General features: G+C 38.3%; 1 protein-coding gene across 49 annotated transcripts in view; it reads left to right on the top strand.

Moving 5' to 3' along the window:
- SYNE1 (spectrin repeat containing nuclear envelope protein 1) overlaps positions 1–12,605 on the top strand; it is a 515,676-nt gene that overhangs the window by 441,922 nt on the left and 61,149 nt on the right. For 48 of the 49 annotated variants that reach the window (XM_047418508.1, XM_017010610.2, XM_017010609.2 and 45 more), the window contains one exon: positions 6,034–6,189. In XM_047418508.1, coding sequence (XP_047274464.1) covers positions 6,034–6,189 — 156 coding nt within the window. Of the gene's footprint in view, positions 1–6,033; positions 6,190–10,029; positions 10,168–12,605 lie in introns of those variants that run through there. The other variant, NM_001347701.2, reaches the window with a different exon arrangement.

Here is a 12,605-nt window from a genome sequence, read left to right as displayed (position 1 = left end):
CCTTCCTAAGAAGGGTAAATACAAACAAGTCCCGACTACAACTACAATAAATACCTAATTCTTCAATACGAAGACACCAGCAAACATCTGCAAGCATCAAGACCATTCAGGAAAACATGACCTAACCCAAAAAATACCAATAAATAAGACACCAGGGACCAATTCTGGAGAGACAGATATATGCAACCTTTCAGACAGATAATTCAAAATAGCTCTTTTGAGCTGGGTGCAGTGGCTCACACCTGTAATCCCAGAATTCTGGGAGGCTGAGGTGGGTGGATCACCTGAGGTCAGGAGTTTGAGACCAGCCTGGCCAACATGGAGAAACCCTGTCTCTACTAAAAATACAAAAATCAGCCAGGCATGGTGGCACATGTGTGTAATCCAAGCTGCTCAGGAGGCTGAGGCCTGAGAATCGCTTGAACCCAAGAGGTGGAGGTTGCAGTGAGCTAAGATTGCACCACTGCACTCCAGCCTGGGTGACAGAGCAAGACTCTGTCTCAAAAAAATAAAAAATAAAAAAATAAATGTAAGAAAACACAGAATGAATTCAGAATCATATCAGATAAATTAAAGAAATTGAAATAACTAAAAGGAATCAATCAGACATTCTGAAGTTGAAAAATGTAATTGACATACTGAAGAATGCATCAGAGTCTCTTAATAGCAGAATTGATCAAGCAGAGGAAAGAATTCGTGAGCTTGAAGTAAGCTACGCAGTCAGAGGAGACAAATGAAGAGGAATAAAAATCAATGAAACATGCCTACAGGATCCAGAAAATAGCCTCAAGAGGGCAAATCTAAGACTTATTGGCCTTCAAAAGGAGGTAGAAAGAGAGATGGGAGTAGAAAGTTTATTCAAAGGGATAACAGAGAACTTGCCAAACATAGAGAAAGATATCAATATCCAAGTACAAGAAGGTTATAGAACACCAAGTAGATTTAACCCAAAGAAGATTACCTCAAGGCATTTAATAATTAAACTCCCGAAGGTCAAAAATAAAGAAAGGATCCTAAAAGCAGCAAGAGAAAAGAAAGAAATAACATAAAATGGAGCTTCAGTACATCTGGCAGCAGACTCTTCAGTGGAAACCTTACCGAACAGGAGAAAGTGAGGTGACATTTTTAAGGTGCTGAAGAAAAAAACCTGTTACCCTAGAATAGTATAACCAGTGAAAACGTCTTTCAATCATGAAGGAAAAATAGACTTTTTCAAACAAACAAAAGCTAAGGGATTTCATTAACATCAGACCTGACCTACAAGAAGTACTAAAAGGAGTTCTTCAATCTGAAAGAAAAGAATGTTAATGAGCAATAAGAAAGCATGTGAAGGTGCAGAACTCACTGGTAATAGTAAATACACAGAAAAACATAGAATATTATAACATTGCAATTGTGTTGTATAAGCTATACCTTTTTTTTTTTTTTTCGAGACAGTCTTGCTCTGCTGCCCAGGCTGGAGTGCAGTGGCGGGATCTTGGCCCACTGCAAGCTCTGCCTCCTGGGTTCATGCCATTCTCCTGCCTCAGCCTCCTGAGTAGCTGGGACTACAGGCACCCACCACCACGCCCGGCTAATTTTTTGTATTTTTTTAGTAGAGACAGGGTTTCACCGTGTTAGTCAGGATGGTTTCGATCTCCTAACCTCATGATCTGCCCACCTTGGCCCCCTAGAGTGCTGGGATTACAGGCGTGAGCTACCGCGCCTGGCCTGTATAAACTATACCTTAAGTAGAAAGATGAAAAGATGAGCTGATCAAAAATAATAACTACAACTTTTCAATATATAGACAAGTATGATAAGATATAAATAAGAAACAACATGGCTGGGCATGGTGGCTCACACCTGTATTCCCAGCACTTTAGGAGGCCAAGGTGGGTGGATCACTTGAGGCCAGGAGTTTGAGACCAACCTGGTCAACATGGCAAAACCCTGTCTCTAACAAAATTATAAAAATTAACCAGGTGGGGTGGCGTGTGCCTGTAGTCCCTGCTACTCGGGAGGCTGAAGCATGAGAATTGCTTGAATCTGGGAGGCAAAGATTGCAGTGAGCTGACAAAGTTAAAGTGTAGAGTTTTTACTAGTTTTCTTTTTGCTTGTTTGTTAGTTTGCTCATTTATGCAATCAGTATTAAGTTGTCATCAGTTTAAAATAATGTGTATTAAGATATTATTTGAAAACATCATGGTAACCTCAAGTCTGAAAACATTCAGTGGATACACAAAAAATAAAAAGCAACAAATTAAAACATACCAACAGTGAAATCACCTTCACTGAAAAGAAGACAGGAAGGAAGGAAGGGGGAGAAGACCATATAAACAACCAGAAAAAAACAAATAATAAAATGGCAGTATTAAGTCCTTACTTATCAATAACAACATTTAATATAAATGAACTAAACTCAGAAGACATTGAGTGACTAAATGGATTAAAAAACATAAGACCCAATGATCTGTTGCCTACAAGAAACACACTTCATCTGTAAAGACACACATACACTGAAAATAAAGGGATGGAAAACGATATTCTATGCAAATGGAAAGCAAAAAGGGCAGGAATAGCTATACTTATATCAGACAAAATAGGTTTCAAGACAAAAACTATAAAAAGACACAAAGAATGTCATTATATGATGAAAAAGGGGTTAATTCAGCCAGAGGATATAACAGAAGTTATAACATTTGTAAATATATATACACCCAACACTGGACCACCCAGATAAATATATAATATATATTTATATGTTTGAGAACAGCCTGGTCAACATGGCAAAACCCAGTCCCTACTAAAAATACAAAAAAATTAGTCGGACATGGTGATGTGCTCCTGTAGTCCCAGCTACTTGAGAGGCTGAGGTGGGAGAATCACTTGAACCCAGGTGGTGGACGTTACAGTGAGCCAAGATCACACCACTGCACTCCAGCCTAGGTGACAGACTGAGACTCTGTCTCAAATAATAATAATAATATACATTTAATTTTTTTCCTTGGTTTTCTGTCACTTATGTATGCTCATGTATCCAGGTATATAAAGCAAATATTATTGGAGCTAAAGAGAGACATTAGACCCAAATACAATAATAGCTGCAGTCTTCAACACCCCACTTTTAGCATTGGAGAGATCATCCAGACAGAAAATAAACAAAAAAACACTGGAGTTAATCTGCACTGCAGACCAAATGGACCTAACAGATATTTACAGAACATTCATCCAACAGCTACAAAATACACATTCTTCTCCCCAGCATATGGATCATTCTCAAGGATAGACTATATGTTAGGCCACAAAACAAGTCTTAAAACATTCAAACAAAAGTGAAATTTTATCAAGTATCTTCTCTGATCATAATGGAATAAAACTAGAAATCAATAGTAAAAAGAATTTTGGAAACTATACAAACACATAGAAATTAAACTATGTGTTTCTGAATGACCAGTGAGTCAATGAAGAGGTTAAAAAGGAAATAGAAAAATTTCTTGAAACAAATGATAATGGAAACACAACATACCAAAACCTACGTAATACAGTGAAAGCAGTACTAAGATGGAAGTTTATAGATACAAGCACCTACATCAAAAAAGAAGAAAAACTTCAAATAAATAACCTAACAATGCATCTTAAAGAATTAGAAAAGCAAGAGCAAACCAAACTCAAAGTTAGTAGAAGAAATAATGGAGCTTAAAGCAGAAATAAATGAAATGGAAATGAAGAAAACAATACAAAAGATCAACAAAATGAAAAGTTTATTTTTTGAAAAGATAAATTGACAAACCATTAGCCAGACTAAGAAAAAAAGAGAAGATCTAAATGAAAAAGGAGACATTACAACCAATACCACAGAAATTTAAAGGATCTTTAGCGGCTTTTATGAGCAACTATATGCCAATAAATTGGGAAACCTAGAAGAAATGGATGATTTCCTAGAGACATACAACCTGCCAAGATTGAACCATGAAGAAATCCAAAAGCAGACCAATAGCAAGTAACAAGATTGAAGCCATAATAAAAAGTCTCCCAGCAAAGAAGCCCAGGACCTGATGGCTTCGCTACTGAATTTTACCAAACATTTAAAGAAGAACTAATACCAATCCTACTCAATCTATTCTGAAAAATAGAGGAGGAGGGAATACTTCCAAACTCATTCTACAAGGCTACTATTACCCTGCTAACAAAACCAGACAAAGACACATCAAAAAAAAAAAAAAAAGGAAAATTATAGAACAATATCTCTGATGAACATTTATGTAAAAATATTCATTAAAATAATAGCAAACTGAATTTAACTGTGCATTAAAAAGATCATTCATCATGACCAAGTGGAATTTATCCCAGGGATGCAATGATGGTTGAACATTCTCAAATTAATCAATGTGTACATCAGATCAACAGAATGAAAGACAAAAGTTATATGATCATTTCTATTGATGCTGAAAAGCATTTGATAAAATTCAACCTTTCCTGATAAAAACCCTCAAAAAACTGAGCATAGAAGAAACATAGCTCAACATAATAAAAGCCATATATGGCAGATCCACAGGTAGCATCATACTGAATAAGGAAAAACTGAAAGCCTTTCCTCTAAGATCTGGAACACAACAAGGATGTCCACTTTCACCACTGTCATTCAACATGTTTTCACTTATGTGTGGGAGTTAAAAATTAAAACAGCTGAACTCATGGAGATAGAGAGTAGAAAGATGGTTACCAGAGCTTGGGAGGGTACATGGAGGCTGCAGGGGTGATGAGGATGGTTAATGGTTACAAAAAATAGAAAAGTATTTGATAGAACAACAAGGCAAATGTAGTCAGTAAGAGTTTAATCATACATTTTTAAATAAATAAAAGGGTATAAATGGATTGTTTGTAACACAAAGGATAAATGCTTCAGGTGATGAATACCATATTTACTTTGCTATCATCTATTAAAATATCTCATATACCCCATATATATGTACACCTACTATGTACCCACAAAAATTAAAAATAAATTTTATTTTCACAAAAGCAACATTCATGATTCATGGGAGGAGGTCAAAATGTCAACATTAACATGTGTTTGGAAGAAGTTGATTCCAGCTGTCGTGGATGACTTTGAGGGGGTTCAAGACTTCAGTGGTGGAGGGAGTAGCTCCAGATGAGGTGGAAACATCAAGAGGACTAGAGTTAGAGATGGAGCCTGAAGATGTGATTGAGTTTCTGCAATCTCATGTTAAAACTTGAATGGATAAGGAGTTGCTTCTTATGGATCAATAAAAAAAGTGGTTTCTTCTGAGACCAGACAAGATTGGGCATGTTTAGGGTGGTATGGCCGTCAACAAGAAAGTGGCTTCTTGAAATGGAATCTACTTCTGGTAAAAATTCTGTGGATATTGTTGAAGTAACAACAAAGGATTTCAAGTATTACATAAACTTAGTTGATAAAGTAGCAGTAGGGTTTGAGAGGATGACTCAAATTTTGAAAAAAGTTCTGTGAGTACAATGCTCTCAAACAGCATCACATGCTACAAGGAAACTTTTGTAAAAGGAAGAGTCATCAGTGCTGCTTAAACTTCATTGTCTTATTTTAAGAAATTGCCAGAGCCACCCTAGCCTTCATCAATCACCACTGGATCAGTCAATGGCCTTTCACGTTGAGCCAAGACCTTCCACCAGCAAGAAGATTATGACTTGCTGAGGCCTCAGATGATCATTAGCATTTTTAAACAATAAAGTATTTTTAAATTAAGGTATGTACATTGGTTTTTTTAGACATATGCTATTGCACATTTTATACACAATAGTATAGTGTAAACATAACTTTTATATGCACTGAGAAACCAAAAAATTTGTGACTCACTTTATTGTGATATATACTTTATTTCAGTGGTCTGGAACCAAATCTGTAATATTGCCATGATGTGCCTCTAGATCCCAAGTTAGATATTTAAATTGAGGGCTATACAAAGGAAATTCTATCAAGAGGGGATTCAAAAACACTTCAGAAATCATTGGCAGGAGATGTCCGTGGGTATTCAAGTTTGTTTTTTTATTTAGGAATTAGAAAATGCAGTTGGGAGCTGGACAGATGACTTGACCCAGTTGAGCCTGCTGAAGGACACCCTCTCTGCCTATATCAGTGCTGATGATATCTCCATTCTTAATGAACGCGTAGAGCTTCTGCAAAGGCAGTGGGAAGAACTATGCCACCAGGTAAGATAAGTTCTAAAAATGGAATTATCTTGATGATGGAAAATTGGGAGATGAATTTGAACGTCAGATGGGTTAACCCACATGTGGACCCGGCCCATAATTCTTAGTACGGACAAAGGAAGAACACTGTGGTTACTACCAGAACATTTCAGATCAATACATTTATATTTTACCACATTTTAGAAAAACCTAAACTGGATTCTTTTTCTTTCACTTTTGCTGGCTGGCATTTTATATATATATATATATATATATATATATATATATTTTTTTTTTTTTTTTTTTTTTTTTTTTGAGACAGAGTCTCACTCTTTTGCCCAGGCTGGAGTGCAGTGGCACAATCTCGGCTCACTGCAAGCTCCACCTCCCAGGTTCACGCCATTCTCCTGCCTCAGCCTCCCAAGTAGCTGGGACTACAGGCACCTGCCACCATGCCCAGCTAATTTTTTGTATTTTTAGTAGGGATGGGGTTTCACCGTGTTAGCCAGGATGGTCTCGATCTCCTGACCTTGTGATTTGTCCGCCTCGCCCTCCCAAAGTGTTGGGATTGCAGGCGTGAGCCACCGTGCCTGGCCGCTGGCATAATATTTTTAAGAGAAAGCACAATGTTATGGTTCACAGATGTGATTTTGCTGGGTAGATATACTTGAAACGTGAAAAACTACTGTTGTATTTGCAACATTAGCTAATACTGTGGAGCTGGTTTTGTTCAGGGAATATTTATTATCACTTTTAATTTACTGTAGTTGTTTCCTGGTAATTTATATTCATTTATTTTTAGTCATACTTTATTCATTTATTAAATACCTTCTATGTGCACAACGTTTTAAAAAAATATCCCAGATTGACTTTGAGTTGGAAATGAAAGGGAAAGATTGGTGGAAAGGCAGCGAGAAGACATCCTAGGCAAAGAGGAAAAACAGATTCAAAGGCTCATAATGAAGAACAGACCCAAATGCCTTGAGGTTATGTTCTCCAGGAAGCAGGGCCCTGTCTTTGTTACTTCTATACCCCGAGTGCCCTGCCTGGCACATAATAGGCTGTGATACATCTCTGTTAAATGGATCAGTCATCTTAATAATTGTGATGTTAACAAACTGTAATAAATGTCCCTATCGTCAAGTTTAAACTTGATCTGAGACTAAAATCAGTCTAGGAGAATGTGTACAGTTAAGAAGAAAACCAGGCATAAACAGGTAAAAACAATGTATAAAACTGTCTAAAGGACCCAGGTGTGGTGGCTTATGACTGTAGTCCCAGCACTTTGGGAGGCTGAGGCGGGTGGATCACCTGAGGTCAGGAGTTCAAGACCAGCCTGGCCAACATGGTGAAACCCTGTCTCTACTAAAAATACAAAAATTAGCCGCGGATGGTGGCGGGTGCCTGTAATCCCAGCTACTTGGGAGGCTGAGGCAGGAAAATCACTTGAACCCAGGAGCCGGAGGTTGCAGTGAGCTGAGATCACACCATTGCACTCCAGCCTGGGCAACAAGAGCGTAACTCCATCTCTCTCTCTCTCTCTCACACACACAAACTGTATAAAGATTTAAGCAAGCTAAGGCTAGTGTGGATGGCAAGGAATAAAGGAAATGTTTCTTGAGATGGATACATTTTGAATTGAGTTTCGAAAAGGGGAGTGGAGGAGACTGATTGATGGGAGGAAGCAAATGAACACTCTGACAAGGTGGCAGTTGGAGCAGAGGAACTGGCTGGAAAAAGCTGGTGTGGGAAGACTGAGGAAGGGGCTGTTGAGAGGGGGCTCTTATGTCCCTACTCTTATGTCCCTGCCAATTGTGCTGCCCTGGGATCTCTTTTGTCTCCCATCCTCCACCCTTTCTCTGACTTTAGAGATGCTTATCCTCATACTTCAGGAACCATTAAACAGAGTTTAAGAGGCTCAGAGCCTCTTGATTGATGTGATATCAACAAGAAGTGTATTTTCAGGAAAATTTCTCTCTGTATATTTAGGTGAAAACCCATGTTTTTCTCAATCCGTGGGCCAACAGAAAACTCTGGAGCACACATGGTAGATGTGTGAGCAGTTTCCTATGAATATATACTTTTTAAAACGGGGGATACATGTATGAGATGGCTTTTACCAACATGTTAATGATTTGAGTTCAAAATGAATTTGGCTACTTTCACAAAGCTTCATTTTCTCAGTGAACACAATGAGGAATTTACATGGATTTACGCATAGAGGGTAGTAATGCTAATCACAACACTTGATTCATTTCTGAATTCTTCAAACTGAAAGCAATACCTTATTATACAGTAAATCATCCTATAATTTTGCAATGTAAAGACTTTATCATGATGTATCAAAATGAAAGATATTTGGTGGGTACAAATTGTGGGAAATTATCACAGCAACCTTCAGTTACGTTTGTGAGCCCATTCATCTGTTTTTCTTAATTTTAGGAGAAGTCTAGCACTACCTGCTCTCTTAATATTTTTTAGCATGTTCGATGAATTGAATTAGACCAGATCTATTGCTTTAGCTAAATGATGCCTGTGAAGCCTTCAGAGAGATAATATTTTAGAGATTGGATCCTGTTTGCTTCAAACATGCCATGAACTTCCCTCCCCAAAGACCTGGATTATGCCACTCTTCCTGCCGACACTGTTTCTTCCCTTCTAATTTTCTTCTTCTTCTTTTTTTTTTTTTTTTTTTTTTTTTTTTTTTTTTTTTTTTGACACAGAGCTGCTCTCTTGTTGCCCAGGCTGGAGTGCAATGGTGTGATCTCGGCTCACCGCAGACTCCACCTCCTGGGTACAAGTGATTCTCTTGCCTCAGCCTCCCGAGTAACTGAGATTACAGGCATGTGCCACCACGCCCTGTAAATTTTGTATTTTTAGTAGAGACAGGGTTTCTCCATGTTGGTCAGGCTGGTCTCCAACTCCCGACCCCAGGTGATCTGCCCACCTCAGCCTCCCAAAGTGCTGAGATGACAGGCGTAAGCCACCGTGCCCGGTCTTCCCTTCTAATTTTCTAACCTGTTTTCTTTTACATTCCACAACTCCTGTGATGTCACTTATGAAATTCTCAGCCCTCAGTATGTTCTTGGTCCTCTGAATTCTTATTTCTCTTTTGGTTGTGCCATTATGTGGCATTGTGTTATTATTCTTTTCAATGTTTGTGACCTCATTCCAAGAATATGAGGACTTTGATATGCAAAGACCATTTCTTTGCATCTTCAGTGTCTAGAGTAGCTAAGTGTTCATGATGTATTGTTTATAATGAAGACATTATGGCATCGATTCTATTTCCTCATACTTACGTTTCTCTTAGTGTAAAATAATGACAAGATTTTGAATATTTTGAAGATTAAGAAGATTATGGTTATGCAATACTTTTTGATTTAGGAAAAGTGTTGTATAAAAATGCCATGGAATTATTGCTATTATTAATTGCTAAAGTAGTCATTCATATGTTGTAAAATTGTTCTCCAGACTTAGATATATCTAGACAGCCATCTGAAAATATATTTCAAAAGCTGATGTTGATCATGCGATATGCTGTAAATAGATTAATAACTTGCACCTGTGAGGAGACTAAGACGTTAAAAAGAAACAGCAAACGGAATACATAGTGTTTTTAGAAACTTTCCATGTTGAAGTGTCTTAATGCTTGAAGCTAAAGCGTACTTACGTTATTAATACTTCAGTCTGAAAAATAATATTTAAACCAATGAGAGTTTAGTCATGGGTTTGATCAAGGTGCCAGGATGTAACTCTAAGGAGGATATAGATTAGTTTCTCGTTCTTGAGTTAGTTGTTTCTGGTGAATTTCTGTCAAGTATGAAACCACAAAAGGAAATGAGCTTGTGCCCATGTCTCATTGTAAAAGTCAAAACTTGAGTTCAACATAACATTATCCCTACTAAGGAGCAAGTAGTCTGTTCCTATTCTGACCAAAGCAGTTGATGAGGAGTCTGGAGTACCTGGGACTGGCGATGAGAATGCGGAATAGAGGCCGTGAGTAAACATTGCAGGGCAGAGTTAATATATTAAAGTATCTGTTTTCAAGTAGACAGCCCAAATGTTTTGTTGTGCCTGTGTACAGCCAGAGCTTATACTTGTTTTTATTCTGTTTTGGTTTGTAGATTTGTGTGTAATTCTAGCTGAAATATAAGTATATGTCATCATCGTAATTGCTCGTTGTTTTGTCAAAACATCATGGTAAAAATATTTCAACCAGAAAAGGATGTATTTCCTGTTGAGCTGCTGCACACTCTGAAGGTTTTAGCTGGTGCTTCTCAGCTGTTGGCAATGCAATGTATTTGTGCCCTTGCAAAAACATAAATAGGTGCTAAGCTGATAAATAATTTGAGGGTTCATCTGAATCCAAAGAAAGAGATGGTAATGTTTACTTAGTATATAGACTAAATACTAGATGTACAAACCAGAAGGAAGATGCCATTGCCCTTATCTTTTGAAAAGCGTTTGGCCTGGGTTTGCACCCAGTGCTTGTAGCCTCACTGTGTCTTTTTTAAGGTGTAGCTCCGTGGTAAGAAAATGAAAGCAACATTTTCATGGTGTGTGATAAACACAAGGGATTTAATATATATTTTATCTATCTATCTATCTATCTATCTATCTATCTATCTATCTATCTATATATGTGTATAATCCAGCTGCTTAGTGGAGATATGGAATACATGAGTGTCAAGGGAGGAAAAAAAATTTAAAACTTAAGTGATGCCCTGTAGTCATGTATAATAGTACTAGTAGCAACAGCATAGTAATGGCCAGCTGTTGTCAGGTCTTTAATATATATCAGTCAATTTCTTTCTTTTTTTTTTTTTTTTTTTGAAACAGAGTTTCACCCTTGTTGCCCAGGCTGGAGTGCAGTGGTGCGATCTTGGCTCACTGCAACCTGTGCCTCCTGGGTTCAAGCAGTTCTACTGCCTCAGCCTCCCAAGTAGCTGGGATTACAGGCACCTGCCACCATGCCCTGCTAATTTTGTATTCTTTTAATAGTGATGTGGTTTCACCATGTTGGCCAGGCTGGTCTCAAACTCCTGACCTCAAGTGATCCACCTGCTTCAGTCTCCGAAAGTGCTGGGATAATAGGCGTGAGCCAGTGCGCCTGGCCATATCAGTCAATTTCTTAAATTACTCTCTTATTTCTCTAATATTACCATATTGATAGGACAGTGCTGGGCACATAGAGACACTTGTTTACTACAGACAATAAACATTTGTTTAATGAATTTTTGGAGCAAACATAAGAATAATTTCCAAATGAAAGGAGTAAGTCGTAGAGAAAATGAGGGACCTTGTCCTGATCATGCAGTTAGTCAGTGATGGATGAACTATTTTTGAATATCAGCTGCCTCTGGATATTTAATCATATTTGCACCCCATGTCAAAGACTCAAACTTTGCTGGTCTTATCTTGTACTGATTCTAAACAAGTGCCCCAAATTTGTCCAACTTTCATATTCCTTGTCTCTGGAATGGGGATAATAATACTTACCTATGAAAGTAATAGGTAATATTTTTCTATTTTGGGACCATCCTCCCTGCAGATATTGGTGAGTAAAGGCCTAGAGTTCATTCTTGGCTTATGGCCAAGATTCGGGGGCAGTGTAAGGAGTTACTTGTTCATCTTCAGTCTGAAGGGCAGGAGTTTCGATTCTTTTTCTTTTTTTTTCTTCTCACTCTGTTGCCCAGGCTGTAGTGCAGTGGTGTGATCTTGGCTCACTGCATCTTCCGCCTCCCGGGCTCAAGCGATTCTCCTGCCTCAGCCTCCCGAGTAGCTGAGATTACAGATGGCTGCCACCACGCCTGGCTAATTTTTGTTTTTTTAGTAGAGGTGGGGTTTCACTATGTTGGCCCGGCTGGTCTTGAACTCTGCCCACCTCGGCCTCCCAAAGTGCTGGGATTACAGGCATGTGCCACCAGGCCCAGCTTCGATTCATAGACAATGATTATTTTGGGCAGTCCAAATAATAAGAGTATAGTTTCAGTTTGGCCATCAATTGAACCGGGATTTTAACTACCAGCCAGACTCCTGACTCTTGCTGCTCTGTGAATGAAAGGGAAAAGGCCGTATTCACCAGAGAGTTCTCAATCTGAGAGATCAGCAGAAGATCAGAGTGCACGCGGCTCTCAGAGCTAGAGGGGTAAGGGGTCCTGGAAGGATTATGTTCTTCAGTGCTATTTGGGGTATGGTGTAAAGTGACAAAATTTGTCCCCAAAACTTTTAAATCTCTGTTTCCTTAGCTTTTTCCATTTCTAGTAGGCCCTACCCCAAGTTCACTGCCCTTTGACTGTTCTGTATTATTCTGCCTCCAAAAACCTCAATGAGAAACTAAATTATACTAATGGGGAAATACTTAGTAGGTTCACCAGTGTCACCCAACCCAGAAAAACTTTTACTTTAAAAGATCATAATTGAATCAAAAGAAT

This window comes from Homo sapiens, chromosome 6 (assembly GCF_000001405.40).
Source record: "Homo sapiens chromosome 6, GRCh38.p14 Primary Assembly".
NCBI classification, from domain to species: domain Eukaryota; kingdom Metazoa; phylum Chordata; class Mammalia; order Primates; family Hominidae; genus Homo; species Homo sapiens.
The sequence above is the reverse complement of the archived record's forward strand: the minus strand, read 5'-3'. Positions and strand labels throughout refer to the sequence as shown.